The 22,612-nt window shown below is 44.8% G+C and overlaps 1 long non-coding RNA gene across 21 annotated transcripts in view; it reads left to right on the top strand.

The window, feature by feature from the left end:
- The first annotated feature begins 188 nt into the window (after positions 1-188).
- LOC112268248 (uncharacterized) overlaps positions 189-22,612 on the top strand; it is a 28,317-nt gene continuing 5,893 nt past the window's right edge. For 4 of the 21 annotated variants that reach the window (XR_007067196.1, XR_007067193.1, XR_007067194.1 and 1 more), the window contains exons 1-12: positions 189-393; positions 2,959-3,043; positions 3,296-3,456; positions 5,023-5,301; positions 8,966-9,069; positions 9,852-9,963; positions 10,284-10,933; positions 11,275-11,386; positions 11,486-11,603; positions 11,687-11,811; positions 19,073-19,285; positions 20,139-20,248. This is a non-coding gene — a long non-coding RNA (uncharacterized LOC112268248). Of the gene's footprint in view, positions 394-548; positions 606-2,958; positions 3,044-3,295; positions 3,457-4,182; positions 4,325-5,022; positions 5,302-5,932; positions 6,067-8,965; positions 9,070-9,851; positions 9,964-10,283; positions 10,934-11,274; positions 11,387-11,485; positions 11,812-12,057; positions 12,372-14,392; positions 14,647-17,608; positions 17,785-19,072; positions 19,286-20,138; positions 20,249-22,612 lie in introns of those variants that run through there. The other 17 variants (XR_007067189.1, XR_002958429.1, XR_007067185.1 and 14 more) reach the window with 17 other exon arrangements.

Genomic DNA, 22,612 nt, shown 5'->3' with positions numbered 1-22,612 from the left:
AGTACTGAGACTACAGGCTTGAGCCACTGTGCCTGGCCAGCAATTCTTATGCATAAAGTATAAAGCCCTCAAATAGGACAGATTATGTCCTAACAGATCTCAGCACACAGGTGAGATTGTGACACTCACATGCAGACCCAGCTGACAGTAATAACTGTCATCCTTCCACAGGAGCACAGCCCACTGTTGAGATTCTGAATCTCAAAACCAATGAAAGTTTCAAAAGTTGAAAAATTGACTTTCATCCTTGAATCCAGTGTACAAGTAAGCTGGTAACTCTCAGACCAAGATTCAGCACCCCTGAGACTTGAGAAACCGTGAGTCCACTAAGGAGACACAGTCTAGAGGATGGATGGAAGGTCTCATACACAGATCAAGTCCACAGTTGAGATTGTGAGTCCTGAACATAAATGCAACATAAAGGAGGTGTTAATTCTCATACCTGGAACCATAACATGGTTCCAGGATGGTTAATCTCATTTATGGACCTTCTTGCAGCTGTGATTGTGACATACGCCTCTGTCCAGCACCTGAGTTTTTTCACTCTCCTGCCTGGGCTCAGCCCACAGATTGGATTGTAACACATCGCTGAACCCAGGATCTAGGTGATGTAAATTTATTCTCCTGCCTTGGTGCTCCCCACAGGGAGCACTGTGACATATTACTGCAGCTAACATAGGGGAACCATAACCAGGTTATGTGACTCTCCTGCCTGTGCCTTGCCCACATGGGCCATTATGACATATTGTTGGGTCTAATGTCCATGTCATATAACTCTCTTGCCTAGGTCCTGCCTACAGAAAGTATTGTGACATATCTCTGTGCCCATCACACAGGTGATGTGACTCTCTTTTCCTGCTGGGTTCCTGCTTACAGGGAGTATTGAAAGAGATTGCTAGCCCCAGCACCTAGATGATGTGACTCTTCTTTCTAGGTTTTGTTCACGGGGAACATTGTGACATATCACTGGGCCCAACTTCAAGGTGATGTTCCTCTTTTGCCTTGGCCCTGCACTCAAAAAGCGTTGTGACATATTGCTGATCCCACTAGCAGGTTGATGTGAGTCTTCTACCTGGACCCCATTAACAAGGGGCATTGCGATGTACCTCTGGGCCTATGAACTATTTGATGACTTCTTTCTTGCCTAGGCTTTCTTTTTTCTTTTTTTCTTTTTTTTTTTTCTTTTGAAAGTCTTGCTCTTTCACCCAGGCTGGAGTGCAGTGGTGCTACCTCGGTTCACTGCAAGCTCCGCCTTCCAGTTTCAAATGATTCTCCTGCCTCAGCCTCCTGAGTAGCTGGGATTACAGGCGCCCGCCACTATGCCTGGCTAATTTTTGTATTTTTAGTAGAGACGGAGTTTCACCATGTTGGCCAGGCTGGTCTCAAACTCCTGACCTCATGATCCACCTGCCTCGACCTCCCAAAGTGCTGGGATTACTGGTGTGTGAGCCACTGCACCCGGCCAGCTTTCTCCATAGAAGATATTGTGCCAAACTCTGGGCCCAGCACCTAGGTAATGTGGCTTTTTTCTTCTGCTTGGACCATGCCCACAGAAGGGATAATGACTTATCACTAAGCCCAGCACACATGATGTAATTTTTCTGCCTGGTCTTTGCCGACAGAAATCATTTTCACATATTTCTGAGTTCATCACCTAGTTGATGTGAACCTTCTTATTTTCAGACTTGTTCACAGTGGAGATTGCTACATATTGCTGGGCCCAGCTCCTATGTGATGTGATTCTCTTCTCATGCCTGGGTGATCCCCACTGGAGTGACTGTGACATATAGCTTGGCCCTGACCCTAGTTTATGTGACTTTCCTCTTCTTCCTTAGCCCTGCTCACCTGGGGACGTTATAACATATCTGAGCCCATCACCTAGGTGATGTGACTCTCTTGCCTGATCCTCGTCTCAGGGGGTAGTGTTTTATGTTGTCACACCCAGAAACTAGGTGATATGACTCTTCTCTACTGCTTGGGCTCTGCCCAATAAGAAATTGTGATGTATCACTGGGCCTAGGTTATGTGATGCTCCTCTCCTCCCTGGGCTGTACATACGTTGCTATTGTGACATGGCTGGGTACAATGTCTAGGTCATGTGAGTTTCCTGCATGGGCCCTGCCCACAGGGGCATTATCACATATCATGTTGTTAGTTATCTAGGTGATGTGACTCCCCTCTTCTGCCCGGGTCCTGACAAAAAGAAGGATAGTGACTTATCACTGGACAGAGCACTTAATGGTGTGACTCTCCTCTTTTACCTGGGCCTTGCATAATTTTGTTATTGTGACATATTGCTGGGTCCAAAACCTAGGAGATGAGAGACTTTTGCCTTGGCCCTGACTACAGAGGGCTTTTTGATATTTCTTTGCATCTATCACCTAGGGGATGTGTCTCTCCTCTGCCTGCACCCTGCCTTCAGGTAAGATTGTGACATAACACTGGGTGCAACAACCAGGTCATGTGTCTCTCCAGCCTGGGCCTAGCAAACCGGGGAGCACTGTGACATATTGCTGCTTCCAGAAACTAGGTAATGTGATTATACCGACTGTGCCCTGCTTTTAGAAGGACATTGTAACATATCACTGGCTGAGCACCCAGGTGATGTGACTCACCTGTCTGGTCCCCACATTCAGGGAAGATTGTGACATATCCCTGACCTAGCACCCAGGTGATGTAACAATACTGCCTGGGCTCTCCCCTCAGAGGGTATTGTGACACATTGCTAAACGCAGCGCATAGGTGATGTGACTCTCCTCCACTGCTTACTCTCTGTTCAAAGAGAGATTGTGATGTATCACTAGTCCCAGCATGTAGATGATGTGACTCTCATGTTTGGGCCAATCCTACGTCATGTATTGTGACATATATCTGGGTCCATCAGCTCGTTAATATGACTCTTCTGTATGGGCTCTGTCCACAGGGGTACTATAAAATATTTTTTCATTCATCCCCTAGGTTATTTGCCTCTTCTCTTCTGCCTGGGCACTGCCAAAGAAAAAAGGAGATTGTAGCAATTCACTGGACCCAGAACCTAGTTGAGGTGACATTCCTATTTTGCCTGGGCCCTGCATATTTGGGTATTGTATCATATCACTGGACTCAACACATAGGGGATGGGAGGCATAAGCATGGGCCCTGCTCACAGAAGGCCTTGTGACATATCTCTGCATCTATTACCTGTGAGATGTGACTGTCCTCTTCTACCTGCACCCTGCTTATAGAGAAGATTGTAACATATTGCTGGGCCTACTGACCAGATGATGTGTTTCTTTTGCCTGAACCTTGCCCACAGGGAGCATTGTGACATGCCACTGGGCTCAGCACCCAGGTGATGTTCCTCTCCTGCCTGGTCCCTTCCATCAGGGAATATTGTACAAATCTCTGGCCAAGCACCCAGTTGATGTGACTCTCCTGCTCACTACCTACTCACAGGTTACATGTCCCATGTCGCAGGTGAGATGACGACTCTCATATCTTAAACCAGACAACAGTTGATATGCTGTCTCTCATAGCTAGGCTTAGGAAAATGGATAAGATTCTGGGTTTCCTATTTTTATGAAGGTCAGAGGGGATTACCACACTCTCACCTATGGTATAAAGCCTTTGGATTGTACACAGTGTGTCATCACAGAGCCCAGCACACAGATGAGATTGACTTGCATGTATGGACAACCAAGCACCTGTTAAAATTGTGACCCTCACAGATGGACAGACCGCAATTGTGAATCCCACACATGGATGCAGTCCACAGTTGGAATTGTGACTGTCATATGTGACCATCCATCCAGATTTGGGATAGGAAAACATTTTTAAATGCAGCTCATAAGAAAGTGAGGGCTGTCCTATCTGAACCCAGAAAATTGGAGAGATGTTGACTCTCATAACTGGGCCTAGGGACACAGATACAATCATAGGTTTATACCAGCATGAAAATCTCAAGCTGGATTGTGGCTCTCATGCAAACCATATAAAGCCCTAGGATAGTACAGAGAGTGTCCTAAAAGGACCAAGCACACAGGTGAGATTATGACACTCCTGTGCGCACCCTGACAATAGTAAAGATTGTCATTTTCCCACATGAACCCAGCCCACTTTTGAGGCTCTGAACCTCACATCCAAAGGCAGCTGAAAGTTGAAAAATTGAATCACATACATGGATCTCGTCAACGGGTGGGTTGGTGACTCTCAGACCAAGATTCAGCACACCTGTGAGCCTCTGACTCCACTGAGGGAACACAGTTCATGGGAGGGATTGAGGATTTAATACACAGATCCAGTTCACCTTTGAGATGGTGACTCGTGTAATTAGACACAACATACAGTAGGTATTGACTCTCGTACCTTGAACCAGATCATGTATGGGATCATTAATCTCATTCTTAGACCATCTTGCATGTGTGATTGTATCATACAGCTCTTCCCAGCAACTGAGTGATTTGACCCTTCTGCCTAGGTCCTACAGGTGAAATTGTGTCATATCACTGAACCCAGCATCTAGGTGGTGTGAGACTATACTTTTGCCTTAGCACTTTTCACAGAGGGCATTGTGACATTTTGCTGGCTCTAGAACCCAGGGGAAGTGACTTTCCTCTGCTTCGTGGTCTCTGCCCAAGAAGAGATTGTGACATGTCACTGGGCTTAACACCTAGGTGACGTGACTTTCCTCTCCTGCCTGGACCAAACACTTTTGTGATGCAAATCTGTTTGGGCCCTGCCTACAGAGGTATTAAAACATATCTGTTCATTCATCACCTAGGTGATATGACTCTTCTCTTCTGCTTGGGCCCTGACAAAATGGGGGATTTTGACACATCACTAAACCCAGCACTTAAGTGATGCTACTCTTCTGTTTTCCCTGGGCACTGCATATCTTGGGTATTGTTATATATAGCTGGGCATCATTCCTTTAGGATGGGAGGCTCCAGCCTGGGCCCTGCCCATGAGGGGCCTTGTAAGATGTCTCTTCCTCCATCACCTAAGAGATGTGACTCTCTTCTTTTGCCTGCATCCTGCCCACAGAAAATGTTGTAATGTATTGCTGGACCCAGTCACCAGATGATGTGTCTCTCCTGCCAAGGCTGTGCCCACAGAGAGCATTTTGACATATCACTGGGCTCAGCACCCAGGTGAAATGACTCTGCTGCCTGTACTCTGCTTTAAGAGGGGATTGTAATATATCTGTGGCTGAGCACCTAGGTGAGATGACTTCTGCGTGGTTTCTGACCTCAGGAAAGATTGTGACATATCTTTGCCGAAAACCTACATGATGTGAATCTGCTGCTCACTTCCTACCGACAGGTAAGATTGTGATATATATTTTATCCAGCTCACAGGTTCATTAATTGCTCTTATACCTCAAACCAGCCAATAGAAGAGATACTGTCTCCCATAACTAGACTTAGGAAAATGAGAGAGATTATGAGTCTTCTCTATGTATTAAGGTCATAAAGCACTACTATTCTTTTACATATTATATAAAGCCCTTGAATGGTACAGAAAGTGTCATTACAGGGCACACTAAACAGGTGAGACTGTGTTTCTTATATGCACATACCACCAACTGTTAAGACTGTCGCCCTCACAGATGGACAGAGCCCATTGGAGAGGTCCTGAATTTCACACATTGACACAGCCCACAGTTTGGATTGTGACTGTCATATGTGAACATCCAGCTACAGTTGGGATGGTGACTCATTTCTAATTCTGGCAAGTTAGATCCTTTCTACCTGGATGTATTCAATGGAGAGATGTTGACTCTTATTCCTGGGTTTGGGGCCACAGGTAGGATCATGAGTCTGTAGATGCACAAAGGTCTCAGAGCATACTGTGACTTTAATGTGTGTGTGTGTGACTTTAATGTGCTCTGAGACCTTTGTGATACAAAGGGTGTCATAACAGAGCATGGTATAGAGGTGAGATTATGACACTCATATATGTATACCCAGCTGGCAGTAAATATTGTCATTCTTCCACATGAACACAGCTCACTCTTGAGGTTCTGAATCTCACATGCAAAGAAAGTTGAAGATGGAAAATTGATTCATACATGGATTCGGTTCACAGGTGGGTTGGTGACACTAAGACCAAGATCCAGCATATCTGTGAGGCTTTGACTCCAGTAAAGGGACACAGTCTGTAGGAGGTATTGAGGCTCTTATGGATGGATTCTCTAAACTGTTGAGATTGTGGGTTATACACTTAGACCCAACATACAGGAGGTGGTGCCTCTCATACCTAGAACCAAGATGTGTGCAGGATGGTTAATCTCATCTCTGGATCTTCCTGCAGCTGTGATTGTGACATATACCTCAGCCTAGCACTTGAGAACTTTTACGCTCCTGCCTAGGCTCAGCCCACAGACTGGGTAGTGACATCTTGCTGCACCCAGCACTTAGTCAATGTCTTGGTTCTGCCCATAGAGACAACTTTGACATATTGTGGCTCCTCGCACTTAGGTTATGTGACTCTCCTGCCTGTGTTCTGCCCACATGGGCCATTGTGACATATTGCTGAGTCCAACATGAAGGTGATGTAATCCTCCACCCTGTCCTCTGCCTACAGAAGGCATTGTAACATACCTTTTGGTCCCTCAACGGTGATGTTACTCTCTGGCTCACCCTTCTTTCAAGGGGTATTGGGACATACTGCTGTACCCAGCACCTAGGTTATGTGAATTTTTCTACTGCTTCGGCTGTGCCTAGTGAGGGGCTATGAAGTATCTCTGGGCCCAGCACCTAGGTGATTTGACTCTTCTTTTTCTTTTTCATTTTTTTTTTTTTTTGAGACAGTTTCACTCTGTTGCCTAGGCTGGAATGCAGTGGTGCGATCTCGGCTCACTGCAGCTTCAGCCTCCTGGGTTCAAGCGATTCTCTCACCTCAGCCTCTTGAGAAGCTGGGATTACAGGTACCTGCCACCATGCCTGGCTAATTTTGTAGAGACGGGGTTTCACCATGTTGGCCAAGCTGGTCTTGAACTCCTGACCTCAGGAGATCCACCTCTCTTGGCCTCCCAAAGTACTAGGATTACAGGCGTGAACCACCATGCCTGGCCAGATGAGAAAGCATTAGTATGACAAGGGCCATTTATAACTCTGGAGTTCTTAACAAAAGATGGTATCTGCAAAATTAAGTGTTCTATTTAAGAAAAACATTCAGCAAGCTTATCCTGCATTTCTACACAAAGAGCACAACAACAATACAATCCACAACAGTCAAGCAAAATAAGTAAAATTGTCCCAAGTAAACTAAATAAGGGCAGATGTTGGAACAAAGCTGATATGGGTTTACTACCTGATTCCAATATGTGTTCACAGTTAGAATAGTGATCCGGATTTATTTATTTATTTATTGAGATGGAGTCTCACTCTGTTGGCAAGGCTGGAGTGCAGTAGCACAATCTCGACTCACTGCAACTCCGCCTGCCGGGTTCAAGCAATTCTCCTGCCTTAGCCTCCTGAGTAGCTGGGATTACAGGCATGTGCCACCACTCCCAGCTTATTTTTGTATTTTTAGTAGAGACAGAGTTTCACCATGTTGGCCAGGCTGGTCTCGAACTCCTGACCTCGTGATCCACCCACCTCGGCCTCCGAAAGTGCTGGGATTACAGGCATGAGCCACCGTGCCTGGCCCCTGATCTGGATTTTTATATTACCCATCTCTCTTGTTTCTTTAGAGCTGCAGTCAGAGATCACTGGTGTGTTCACAGGAATAAGCAGAATTAGTCTAAATAGCAGGGAAAATACTCAAAAACAACAAATGAGACTAGTGTCTAATAACGGGTGTACTATAGTTCTTGAAACATAATTTTTTTCTCTCTCCTGTCTTCCATTTCTACTAAAGACAAATCATGGTAAAACTGATTTACTTGCATAAAAAGCTTTAGTCTTATACTTGGCCTGATTATTTGTATAAAGTGCAGCATAAATAATTATTTTTCACATATGTTTTAAAAATTGGCTTTGATGTAACTATGTTCCATTAAAGGAATATCAGAAAAGACTTTTTAAAAGCCAAGCCCAGCCATGGGTTTGTACCATCAAATACCTATGAGTTGGGTGAGTTTCTCTCTTCTTGGGGTCCCAAGATAACTTCAGGCTCCTGATTCTGTCAGAAAGAGACATTCCTGGCCAGGCATGGTGGCTCACACTTGTAATCCCAGCACTGTGGGAGGCCAAGGTGAGTTGATCACCTGAGGTCAGGAGTTCGAGACCAGCCTGCTCAACGTGGTGAAAACCCATCTTTACATGAAATACTAATATTAGCTGGTTGTGGTAGCATGCACCTGTAGTCTCAGTTACTCAGGCAGCTGAGGCAGGAGGATCACTTGAACCTGGGAAGCAGAGGTTGCAGTGAGTTGAAATCACACCATTGTACCCCAGGCTGGGTGATAGAAGGAAACTCTGTCTAAAAAAAAAAAAAAGAAATGACATTCCTTACTTACCATGGGTCAGGAACCCTGCACAGGGACTGTGTAGACATAGCAGGAGGCCAGGTTTCCCATAAGGCTTATATTGACTCTACAAATTCAGTATGATTTCTTCAAGGAAAGCACCCCATTCCAGCCAAAGTCTGGTGAAATTACCAGTGTCTCCAATTGTGCCCTGTTGCAAAAGAAAACATGCTTATGGCACATATGCAAATAGCTATATTTCCATAAATTAAAAATACCAATAGGTTTCTACATTCTGGAGAAATCAGGTAGCGAAAAACAAGTATGCTCCAAATTTTTTTTACAGAAGTATACCTTCCCCAGTTGTTAAAAACTGTAAATAGCTATAAATATTTTGACTCTGAAAAACAAAAAAAAAGGATTTGCAGCATTTTAAGAAAAAAGCCAAAAACTATTATTTTTGTCTTCTATTATTTCAGTTTATGCCATAAACTCCTTTTCTGCTTGATATTCATTAACATTTCAGCTCTCCATGAGAGTCCTGAAAATTTTTCCTCTGTTCTAATGTTGCAGTCTCCAAAGTTATCAGAAACCTGCATTTAAAAATACCTGGCAAAGTTCCATAGCGGACCATAAATCACCTCTTGAAGAGGATCGAATCAAGACAACAATTGTCTGTGGGTGACAAAAAGTCCTAGGACAGCTGTACTTTATTTATTTACTTATTTATTTATTTATTTAGAGACAGAGCCTCATCTTGCTCTGTCGCCCAGGCTGGAGTGCAATGGCACAATCTTGGCTCACTGTAACCTCCGTCTCCTGGGTTCAAGCAATTCTCCTGCCTCAGCCTTGGGAGTAGCTGGGATTACAGGTGTCTCTTCCACGCCAGGCTTTTTTTAAATTATTTTTAGTAGAGACAGGATTGCACTATATATTGACCAGGCTGGTCTGGAACTTCTGACCTCAGGTTATCCACCTGCCTCAGTCTCCCAAAGTGCTGGGATTATAGACGTGAGCCACCGTGCCCGGCCAACCCCCTAAATCTTAGAAAGGACTTGAACCTTCCTAACTTGGGCCTCAAGCTTTTTATTAAGAGAGGTCTTTAACCCAGTATTTCTTAGGAGAGACTGTAACTCTTCTATGTTGGGCCTCTAACCCAATCCCATTTTTTACCCTGGTAAAATGTACTCCACTAGTTACCCCAAGTTGGCTAATTGGTGCTGCAGTTTACTTCCTTTGGTTCAGTTTTCTCCTCAGTATAGTCCCTTTATAGTTTGCCAGAAAGCTGTTACTGAAAAGGGCTTTTAATCCAGACCCCAAGAAGTCAGGGTGAGCCCATGCAGTAAAATGAAAGCAAGTTTATTAGAGAAGTAAAGAAACAAAGAAACAAAAAAAATGGCTGCTCCATAGGCAGAGCAGCTAATGTAATTCTTGTTTCTTAAATTGGCTTTGACCATAGGAGGGATTGAGACAATTCTGGAAGCCCAGCACCTAGGTGATGTGACTTTCATCTTTTGTTTGGACCGTGTGCACAAAAGGAAGAGTGGCTTATCACTGGACCTCACACACAGGTGATGTAACGCTTCTGTCTAGGGTAATTGTGATACGTTCCTGTGCTCATCACCCAGATAATGTGACTCTTCTCTTTTCCTGAGACCTTCCTACAGTGGAGATTGTGACATATTACTTGGCCCAGTACCTATGTAATGTGACTCTTCTCTCATACCAGAGACTTGCACCTAGGGTAGTTGTGACATATAGCTGGGCTCAGCCCCTGGGTTATGTGGCTCTTTTGATTATCCCCAGCTCTACCTGCAAGGAGCACTGGGAAATATATCTTTGGGCCCCTCAATTAGGTGATGTGACTCCCCTTTCTGGACTCTTTCCTCAGGAGGTATTGTGACATATTCCTGGAGCAAGTACCCAGGTAATGTAACTCTTTTCTACTGCTTGGACTCTACCCAAGGAGAGATTCTAATGTATCACTGGACCCAGCACCTAGGTTACGTGACTTTCCTCTTGTGTCTGAGTCTTGCATAAATTGTGTATTGTGACAAATCTCTGGGTCTAAAACCTAGGTGATGAGACTCTTATGCATGAGCCCTGCTTACAGGGATATTATGACATATCTTTTTTTTTTAATCACCTATGTGATGTGCCTTTGTTTGTGTGTGTGTGTGTGTGTGCGTCCTGGCCCTGCCAAAAGTGGGGATTGTAACATATCATTAAACTTAGTACCAAGGTGTTATGACTCACCTTGTTTGCCTGGGCCCTGCATATATTTGGTAATGTGACGTATGGCTGAGACAAACACCTAGGGCATGAGAGCCTTGTGCCTGGGTCCTGCCCACAAGGAGCCTTTTGGCTTATCTCTGCATCCATGAACTAGGAGATGTGACTCTTCTTTTCTGTCTGGGTTCTGCAAAAACAAGTGATTGTGACATATCATCAAACCCAGCAACTAGACGATGTGATTTTTCTTCCCTGCTTGAGCCCTGGATATGCTGTGCATTGTGATATATGGCTGGGTCCAACATCAAGGTAATGTGACTCTCCTGAATGGACTCTGCCCACAGGAGTATTATGACATATCTTTACCTTTATCACCTTGGTTATGTGACTCTTTTTATTTCCCTGAGCCCTCTTGAATTAGGAATTGTGTCGTATCACTGAACCTAGCACCTAGGTGATGTGACTCTGTTTTATTGCCTGGGTTCTGCATTTTTTAAGTATTGTGACATGTCCCTGACCACAATACCTAAAGAATTGGGAGGTACCTGCTTGTACTCTCCCTATGAGGGGCGGGGGGACATTGTGACATATCTCTGGTTCCATCAGCTGCTTCATTTGACTCTCCTCTCCTACCCATGTTTTGTCAATAGGAGAGATTGTGACATATCTCTGGAACCAGAACCTTGGTGATGTGACTCTTCTCTCCTGCTGAAGCCATGCCCACACAAGGGAAAGTGACTTATCACTGGGCCCAGCACACAGGTGATGTAATTATTCTGCCTGGTTTTTGTACCCAGGAGCCATTGTAATCTATCTCTGGGCCCATCATTTAAATGATGTGACTATCCTTTTCTTCCTCAGCGCTATTCACAGGGAAAATAGTGACACATCTGTGGGGTTCTCACCGAAATGATGTGACTCTCTTGCCTGGGCTCACCTCTCAAGGGAATTTTGACATATTACTGGACCAAGCACCTAGGTGATGTGGCTCTGACAGAGGAGAAATTGTGATGTACCACTGTTTCCAGCACCTAAGAGATCTGACTCTCCTCTTTTGCATAGGCCCTGCATTTATTGTGTATTGTGACATATGGCTTGGTCCAACACCTAGGTGGTGTGACTCTCTACTTCTTCCTGTGCCATGCCAAAGAAGAGGATTGTGACATATCACTGGATCCAGCACCTAGGTGATGTAAATCTTTTCTTTTGCTGAGCCATGAATATTTTTGGTATTGTGACATGTCACTGGACCCAACACCTACAGGATTGGGTCAGAGGCTACTGAATAAGCCCTGTCCATAGGTGGCCTTGTGACATATGTCTGCCTCTATCACCAAAGTGATGTGACACTTTTTCTGCCTGCATCCTGCACATAGAGAAGATTGTGACATATCGCTGGGCCCAGTAACCAGGTGATGTGTCTTTTCTGGCAGGTCTTTTCCCACAGGGAGCATTGTGAAATATCACTGGGCTCAGCCCCCAGGTTATGTGACCTTTCTGCCTTGCCCTGCTCCCAGGAAATGTTGTGACATCCCTCATACAGCACCCAGGTGATGCGACTCTTCTGCTCATTTTCTACTTATACTTGGGATTGTGACAAATATCCTGGTCCAACTCATAGGTGCTATGATGATTCCCATACCTGGAATCAGCTAATAGGGGAGATAGTGTCTCTTGTATTGTAGCTTAGGGAAAAAAGTAACATCTTGGGCCTCCTCTTTGTATGAATGTCATAAAGAATTACCAATCTGACTGGGCAGTGTGGCTCATGCCTGTAATCCCAGCACTTTGGGAGGCCAAGGTGGGTGGATCACGAGGTCAGGAGTTGGAGACCAGCCTGGCCAACATAGTGAAACTCTGTCTCTACTGAAAATATAAAAATTAGCCATGTGTGGTAGCATGCACCTGTAGTCCTAGCTACTCAAGAGGCTGAGGCAGGAGAATCACTTAAACCTGGAGGCAGAGGTTGCAGTGAGCCAAGACCATGTCATTGCACTCCAGCCTGGGTGACAGAGTGAGATGAGACTTCCTCTCAAAAAAAAAAAAAAAAAAAAAAAGAATTACCAATCTTTGGTGTGTTTCATAAACCTTTTGAGTGGCACAAAGAGTGTCTTCACAGAGCTTAGCAGACAGGTGAGATTGTTTCTAAAGTGCAGAAACTGCCAACTGTTAGGATTGTCACCCTCACACATGGCAAAAGCCAACTGGTAAGCTCCTGAATCTCACAGGTGGACCCAGTTCAAAGTTCGATTTGTTACTGTCATATATTAACATTTGGCCACAATTAATAAATTGTCATTAATAAATGCAGTGCATAGGCAGGTGAAGATTCTCCAATCTAGACCCTGCCGACTAGAGAGTGAGGACTCTCTAATCTGGACCCTGACAACTATGCTTATACCTGAACTTAGGGTCAAAGATATAATCATGGGTCTATACTAGCAGAAAGGTCTCAGAGCAGACTGTGACTTTTATGCACACTCTACAAAGTCCTCAGGTGGTGCAGAAAGAGTTCCAACAGAGCCCAGCACACAGGTGAGACTGTGCCACTCATATGCACACCCAGTCAACAGTAAAGATTGTCATTCTGTCTCATGAAAACAGCCAATGATTGAGCTTCTGAATCTCAGACTTGGAGGCAGTCAAAAGTTAGAAAATTGACTATCATACCTGGATCTCATTCACAGGTGGGTTTGTGACTCTCAGATTCAACACAACTCTGAGGCTGTGACTTCATTAAGGAGATACAGTCCACACGAGGAATTAAGGGTCTCATGGACAGATTAGTCTACCATCTAGATTGTGACTCTTTACGTAGGCCCAACATACATGAGCTATTGAATCTTACACCTCGAACCTAGATACATATGGGATTGTTAATCTCATACCTGGACATTCCTGCAGGTGTGATTGTGACATAGATTCTGCCTGTCATGTGACTGATTTAACTCTACTCCCTGGGCCCAGCCCAGAGCTGAAATTATAAAATTTCATTGAAAGCAGCAATTAGGTGATGTAGCTGCATGCTCCTGCCTTAGCATTGCCAAAAGGGAGCATTGTGACATATTGCTTGGCCTTGCACCCAGGTGATGTGAGTCTCTTCTGCCTTCATGCTGCCCACAGGCAGCACTGTCACATATCACTTGGCACCACATTCAGGTTATGTGACTCTCCTGCCTGTGCCCTGCCCATATGGGCCATTTTGACATGTAGCTGAGTCTGATACCCAGGTGATGTAACTCTCTGGCCTGGCCCTGCCTACTAGGTTTTCTGTGACATATCTATGCACCAATCAACTTTGTGTTTTGATAATCCTCTTCTACCAATTTCTGCTCAAAAGAAGGATTTTGACAAATAATTGGGACCAGCACCTAGCTGAGGTTACTCTACTCTTCTTTCAAGGTTTGGTTTGCAGGGGATGTTGTGACATTGCTAGGCTAACAGACAGGTGATATTCTTCTGCCTTGGCTCTTCCAAAATAAAGCATTTTTACATAGTGCTGTGCCCAGGACTACAGTGACTGAGTCTCCTGCCTAGACTCTGCCCACAGAAAGATTGTAACATATCTCTAGACCCATCAACTATTTGATGTGAGTCTCTTCTTTTACCTTGTCTTTTCCCACAAAAGAGATTGTGATATATCTCTGGGCCCAGCACCTAGGTGATGTGACTTCTTCTGCCTGGGTCATGCCCATAGAAGGGAGAGTAACTTACTACCAAGCCCACCACAGACATGCTGAGATACTTCTGCCTGTTGCTTGCCCACAGGATGCATATGCCAGATTTCCAGGCCCATCACCTAGATGATGAGACTCTCCTCTTCTTTCTGGGACCAATACACAGTGGGAATTGTGATGCATCGTTTAGCTCAGCAGCTACATGATGTGACCCTCTTCTCATGAGATTCCTGCCCACTTGGGTAATTGCAACATATAATGTAGCCGAGTTTCTAGGATACCTGACTCTTCTCTTATTCCTGAGACTTACACAGAATCGGCAACATCTCTGATCTTCTCACCTAGGTGAGGTTACACTCCTCCCTGATCTCTCCCTTCAGGGAATATTTTGACATATAGCTAGACCCAACACCTGGGTAATAAGTGTGTGGGCTCCGTCCAAGAAGAAATTGGGATGTATTGCTAGGCTCAGCACCTAAGTTATGTGACTCTTCTCTTCTGCCTGGGCCCTGCATACATTGTGTATTTTGACATATCATGGGCTCCAACACCTAGGAAATTGGCGATTTCTACCTGTGGCCTGCCCACAGGAGGCCTTGTGATGTATCTCTGCATCATAACCTAAGAGATATTACCCTTGTTTTTAGCCTCCACTTTGCCCACAGGGAAAATTGTGACATATCACTGGGCCCAGCAACAAGGTGATGAGTTTGTTTTGCCTGCACCTTGCCCACAGAAAACAGTGGAACATAGCCCTTGGCCTAGCACTAAGGTGATGTTTCTTTTATCCCTGGTCCCTGGCCTCAAAAATGACTGTGACATAACCCTTTCCCAGCTCTCGGGTGATGTGATCATCCTGCTCATTCTCTACTGACAAATGGGATTGTTACATACATCTTGGCCTGGCTGACAGGTGCAATAGTGACTCTCATACCAGTCACCAGGAGAGATACTGTCTCTTGTAGCTAAGCTTAGAGAAATGGGTAAGATCCTGAGTCTCCTTTTTGTAGGAAGGTCATAGATTATTTTCACTCCCTCACATACTGTATAAAGCCCTCAGGTGATACAGAGAGTGTCATCACAGGCCCAACACACAGGTGAGACTGTTTACCTTGTGTGCACACCCCACCAATTATTAGGATTATTGCATTCACACAAGGACACAGAGTACTGGTGAGTTCTTGAACTTCATACATGGATGCAGCTTACAGTTGGAATTGTGACTGTCATATGTAAACATCTGACCACAACTGAGATGGTGACTCATTTCTAAAACCATCTCATAGGCAGCAGAGTAATCTCCTCTCTGGACCAAGTCAATTAAAGAGATGTTGACTCTCATACATGGGCTTAGGGCCATGAGTACAATCATGGGTTCATACCAGCATGGAGGTCTCAGAGCAAATTCTGACTCTTGTGAATAGCATATAAAGCCCTTGAATAGTAGAGAGACTGTCCTCATAGGGCCCAGCACACAGGTAATATTGTGACACTCTTATGCACAGGTAGCCAATAGTAAAGATTGTCATCCTTCCACATGAACACAACCCACTGTTGAGGCTCTGAATCTCCCACTCAGAGGCAGTGGGAAGTTGAAGAAATAACTCTTATATGTGGATCTGATCCATAGGCTGGTTGGTTACTCTCAGACCAAGATTCCCCACAGCTGTGAGGCTGTGGCTTCATTAAGGGGACACAGTCTTCAGGAGGGATTGGGTCTTTTGTGTACAAATCCAGCCCATTGTTGAAATTGTGACTCAGGTACTTAAACCAAACCTACAAAAGGTGTTGACTCCCAAACCTGAAACTGGGACATGTGTGAGATTGTTAATTTCATTTCAGGATCTTCCTGCTGGTGTGATTCTGACATATCTTTCTGCCCAGAATCTGAGCAATCTGACTTCCCAGCCTTGGTCCAGCCCCCAGGAGGGATTATGACGTATCACTTGGCCAAGCACTTAGCTGATGTGACCTATTCTCCTGCCTTGGCTCTGCCCATAGAGAACATTGTGATGCACTGTCAGGCCCTGCACCCAGGTTATGTGATTTCTGCCTGTGCCCTGACCACATTGGCTGTTTTGACATATTGCACTGTCCAATACTCAAGTGATGCTACACTTCTGCCTGTGCCCTTCCTACAGCGGACATTATGAAATATCTCTGTGCCCATCACCCATGTATGTTGACTCTCCTGAATGGATTCTGCTCACAGGGAGATTGAGACATATCTGGGCTCAGCACTCAGATGATGTGACGGTTCTCTCTTTTTTTTTTTTTTTTTTTGAGATGGAGTCTTGCTCCATCACCCAGGCTGGAGTGCAGTAGCACAATCTCCGGTCACTGCAACCTCTGCTCCTGGGTTCAAGTAATTCTTCTGTCTCAGCCTCCTGAATAGCTGGGACTACAGGTGCCTGCCACCACACTTGGAGTATTTTGTATTTTTAGTAGAGATGGGGCTTCACCTTGTTGGTCAGGCTGGTCTCAAACTCCTGATCTCAGGTGATCCACCCTCCTCAGCCTCCGAAAGTGCTGGGATTACAGGCATGAGACACCGCACCCAGCCAATGCTTATCATTTTCCTATGTTCTGCTCACACAAAAGATAGTGGCCCAGCACAAAGGTGATGTGAGCCTCCTGCCTGGACCCTGCTCACAGGGAGCATTGTGAAATATCTCTGGGCCCATCAACTGTTTGATGTGAGTCTCCTCTGTTACCTGGGCTTTGCCTATGGAAGACACTGTGACATATCACTGGGCCCAGCACCCAGGTGGTTTGATTTGCCTCTTCTGACTGGGCCATGCCAACAGATAAATAGTAACTTATCACAGGGTCCAGCACACAGGTGCTGTGGCTCTTCTGCCTGGTCCCTGCCCACAGGTGTCATTGATACATATCTTTGGTCCCAACAAGTAGATGATGTGACTCTTTACTTCATTCTGGGACATGTACACAGTGGGGATTGTGACATATCACTAAGCCCAGCATTTATGTGATGTGATTCGCATGCCTGGGCCCTGCCCACTGCAGTGATTATGACATATATCTGGGTGCAGCCCCTAGGTTATGTGACTCTCCTCTTTTCCATGATCCCTACTCATAGCATGAATTGTGACATATGTCAGGTTTTCTTACCTAGGTTATGTGACTTTCTTGTCTTTGCCCTTCCATCGGGGGCATTGTGACATATTGCTAGTTCCATTATCTGGGTGATGTGACTCTCCTCACCTGCCTGTGCACCACCCAAAGGGGACATTGTGACAAATCCCTGGACCAATTTTCTACACAATGTGCCTCTCCTCTGTTGCAGGAGACATGACCCAAAAAGGGATTATGACATATCTCTGAGCCCAACACCCAAATGTTGTGACTCTCCTGCCTGGGCTGTGCCTAGAGAAAATATAATATGTCACTGGGCCCTGCATGCAAGTGATCTGATTCTCCAGCCTGGGCCTTGCCCACAGGGGAGATTGAGACATATTCCAGGTGAAGAATTATGGTGATGTTACTCTCATTTATTAGCCTTTCCCACAGGTAAAATTGTGAAATATAACGTGGTCAAGCACACAGATGAGATTTTTATTCTTGTATGCAATCCCAGACAATAGTTACTATTGTCACTATAACACATGGACAAAGACTGCTGTTGAGGTCCTGAGTCTCATGAGTGAATGCAGTCAACAGCTGGAATTGTGACTGTCATATGTATACCTTGCCAGAAGTGGGATGGTGACTCATTTCTGGATTCAGCTCACAGGAATGGTGATGACTGTCAAACATGGGCCCAGCCAATAAGAGAGATGTTGACTCTGGTAGCTAGGCTTTGGGGTCTAAGTCTTTTACTTGTAGGCAGGTAGTAGAAGATTATGACACTCACACATATAGTATAAAGCTTTTGGGCAATACAGAGTGTCATTACAAGACTGAGTACACAGGTGACATTGAGACTCTCCTATACACACCTAGCCAACAGTTTGAATTGCCACCCTCACACATAGGCCGAGCTTACTGGTGAGGGCCTGAGTCTCACATATGAACCTATTACACCAGTTGGATGGTGGAAAATTTCTGAACCCAATTCACTTGCCCAATAAACCCACCAATAGAAGATATGTTGCTGCTTGTACCTAGGCTTAGGGCAACAGGTAAGGTTTTGGGTTTTCTACTTGTATAAATGTCACAGAGGATTACCACGCTCACTAATATTGTATAATGCCCTCGGGTTGTACAGAAAGTGTCATTACATAACTCAGCAAAATTTGAGATTGTGACTCTCAAATGCACACCCAGCAAAGAGTAAGAATTGTCACCCACACACATGGACAGAACCTGCAGGTTCACTTACAGATGCAGTCCACAGTTGGAATTTTTAATGTCATGTGTGGATCCAGCCACAGGTGGGAGGGTGACTCATAAAACCCAACTAAGAGGCACAGCAATTACTTTCATACCTGGACCCAGACAATAGGAGAGATGTTGACTCTCATACCCAAACTTAGGGCAACAGGCAAGATCATGAATTTATACCAGTGGTAATATCTCACAGGGGATTGTGACTCTCACCCAATCAATGTAAAGCCCTTGGGTGGTACAGAGAGTGTCATAAGAGGACCCAGAACAAGCTGAGATTTTAATTCTCATATGCACTTCCAGCGCCTAGTAAAAATTGTCACCCTCCTGCATGGATACAGAAAACTGTTGAGCTTCTGAATCTCACACCTGGACACAGTCGAAAGTTGGGATTGTAATTGTTTTATGTGGATTTTGTCTACAGGTGGATGGTGACTCTAAGACCAGGATTCAACACAACTAGAAGGCTTTGACTCTAATACGAGTCACAGAAGGCTCTGCGACTCTTCTATTTTCTCTAGGTTATGCAAATGGAGGTGGATTGTGACATATCATAGGGCCAACACAACACACAGTCTACAGGTGGAATTGGGACTCTCATGCATGGATCCAGTTCATCATTGATACTGTGACTCAGGTACTTGGATGCAACTCACAGGAGGTGTTGACGCTTTTACCTGAAGCTGGGACATGTGTGGAATTGTGAATCTTAGCCCTAGATCTTCCCACAAGTATGACTGTGACATATACTTTTGCCTAGCACCTGAGTGATTTTACTTCCCTGCCTGGGCCCAGCTCTCAGAAAAGATTGTGATGTGACTCTCTTGCTTGAGCCCTACCCACAGAGGCTATTGTGAAATTTCACTGGGCTCAGCACTTAGGTCTTATGACTCTTATTTTCAGCCTGGGCCCTGTCCACAAAGTCACTGTGAGATGTCACTGAGCCCAGCACCTCTGTGATGTGACTGTACTGCCTGGGCCCTGCCCACAGTAGGTATTGTGAAATACTTTGCCTGCATTCTGCCTACCCCCCAGCAAAAAAAAAAAAAAAAAAAAAGAACTGTGACATACCACAGGCCCAAGCACTTAGGTGATATAATTCTCCTCTTCTGCCTGGGCTCTGGCCTCAGGGGAGATTGAAACATTGTACTGAGCCCAGATTGCAGGTGATGTGACCCTCTATCTTAGGCTCTGCCCACAGGAGGTATTGTGATATACCTCTGTGGTCATAATTTAGGTGCTGTGACTCTTCTATTTTCTCTAAGTCACGCAAATGGAGGGGGATTGTGACATATCATAGGGCCAACACAAAAATAATGTAAAACTCCTGCCTGAGCCATGCCCATAGAAGGCATTGTGACATATCACCAGTCACATCACTCAGGTGATGTAACTCTCTTTCCTGAGCCTTGCCCACAAGGCATATTGTAACATATCTTTAGCCTAGAACTTAAAATATGTGACTCTCTTAGCTTGTTTCTTTTCCACAGGTGGGATTTTGACATATAACTGCACCCAGCACACAGGTGAGATTGTGACTCTTGTATGCTCATCCTGCCAAAAGTTGAGTGTCACCCTCACACATGGACAGAGACTTCTGGTAAGGTCTTGAATCTTGTACATGGACACAGTCCACAGCTGGAATGTCATATGTAGATCCAGCCACAGGTGTGATGTTGACCTATTTATAAAGTTAGCTCACAGGCACATTGATAACTCTCATACCTGGATCCAGCCAATAAAATATATGTTGACTATTATAGCTAGGCTTGAGTAAACTGGTAGGGTCCTGGGTCTTCTACCTGTATGAGAGTCACAGAAGATTATGACACTTATGGAAATTACATAAAGCCCTCTGGCAATGCAAAGTTTTATCACGGGGCCCCACACGCAGGTGAGATTGTGACTTCAATATGCAGACAAAGCTAACAGTTAGTATTGTTACCTTCACATATAAACAGAGCCCACTGGTGAGGTTCTAAATCTCACACACCAAAAAAATTCACAGTTGGAATTGTGACTGATATGTGAATCTGCCCACTGATGGAATGCTGACTCATTTCTGGATTCAGCTTAGAAAAATGGTGATGACTGTTTCACCTGGACTCAGCCAAATGGAGAGATGTTGACTCTCTTAACTAGGTGTGATGGTTAATACTGAGTGTCAACTAGGCTGGATTGAAGGATACAAAGTATTAAATCTGGGTGTCTCTGTGAGGGTGTTGCCAAAGGAGATTAACAACTGAGTCAGTTGGCTGGAAAAGGCAGACACACACTTAATCTGGATGGGCGCAATCTAATCAGATGCCAGAGTGGCTAGAATGTAAGCAGGCAGAAAAATGTGAAAAGAGTGACTGGTCTAGCCTCTCAGCCTACATCTTTCTCCTGTGCTGGATTCTTCCTGCCCTTGAACATCAGACTCCAAGTTCTTTAGTTTTGGAACTCGGAGTGGCTCTCCTTGATTCTCAGCCTGCAGAATGCCTATTGTGGGTCTAGTGATTCTGTGAGTTAATACTTAATAAACTCCCCTTTATATACTTTATATATATATATATATATATATATATATATATATATATATATGCACATACACATACATATCTCACACAGGGATATATATATTCCATTAGTTCTGTCCCTCTAGAGAACCCTGACTAATACAGATTTTTGTACCAGGAGTGGTTCTAGAGGAACAGAATATTAAGGATGAAGTTCCTTTTTTGATTCTGGGGTTTCTGGAATTGGCTGCTTAATATGATTAGACCCAAAAATGTTAAGGATCTACTTCTAATAGTATGGAAAACACTGATAGTCTTTGGGATGAACTGTTTAGAGAGTTATGTAAAATAAATGCATTTGACACTCCTGATTTATCATTCATGAGAGGCAAGGAGTTTAGTGACTCTATACATAATACCTTTGACCAGCTGGGCATAGTGGCTCACACCTGTAAACCCAGCACTTTGGGGGGGGCGAGGTGGGTGGATCACGAGGTCAGGAGTTCAAGACCAGCCTGGTCAAGATGGTGAAACCCCCTCTCTACTAAAAATACAAAAATTAGCCAGGTGTGGTGGTGGGTGCCTGTAATCCCAGCTACTCAGGAGTCTGAGGCAGAGAATTGCTTGAACTGGGAGGCGGAGGTTTGACCATATGTGGAGAACCAAGGAACATAATGAAGCTGGTTGTCATAAGTTCAGTGAACAAAGTGATGATAGAAAATGATGAACTCAGGGATTCTATCTTTTGGCTTCAGAAGCAGTTACTGAGCCTCAAATCTGCTAAGATTGCCCTGTGTGAGAGTCTCATCTCTGGTAGAGAAAGAGCTGAAATTGTGCAAAAACAGACACAAACTCTTATTATGCTAGTGGCTGACCTGCAACAAAAGGTGTATGCACAGCCTCGCCAGGTGTCTACTGTTAGAGTGAGCGCATTGATTGGAAAAGAATGGGACCCTGCCACTTGGAATGGGGACGTGTGGGAGGACCCTGATGAAGCTAGGGGCTCTGAGTTTGTAAACTCTGATGAGCCTTTTTTGTTAGAAGAAAGAGCTTCCCCATCCCCAGTAGTGGCAACATCCCCTTTCTGATCCGTGCTGCCATTAGCCTTTCCACCTTTGTCTGAGATAAACTCTGCACTGCCTGAGGCAACACTGATGGCCTCCCCTGAGGCAGTTGTCAGGCAAAATAATGTTGATTCTTTTCAGGAGCCACCCTCAACACCCCTGTTTGCTTCTAGGCATATAAGTAGACTAAAGTCCCAGCAGACCCCTAGAGGTGAGGTTGAGAGTGTGCCCCATGAGGAGGTACACTACACTCAAAAAGAACTGCTTGAGTTTTCTAATTTATATAAACAGAAATCTGGAGAACAGGCTTGGGGATGAATATTAAGGGTGTGGGATAATGGTGGAAGGAACATAGAGTTGAACAAGGCTGAATTTGTTTATTTGGGCCAACTAAGTAGGAAC

Source organism: Homo sapiens, chromosome 19 (genome assembly GCF_000001405.40).
Source record: "Homo sapiens chromosome 19, GRCh38.p14 Primary Assembly".
In the NCBI taxonomy this organism is placed as follows: Eukaryota; Metazoa; Chordata; class Mammalia; order Primates; family Hominidae; genus Homo; species Homo sapiens.
This window is presented reverse-complemented; position numbering and strand designations above follow the sequence as displayed.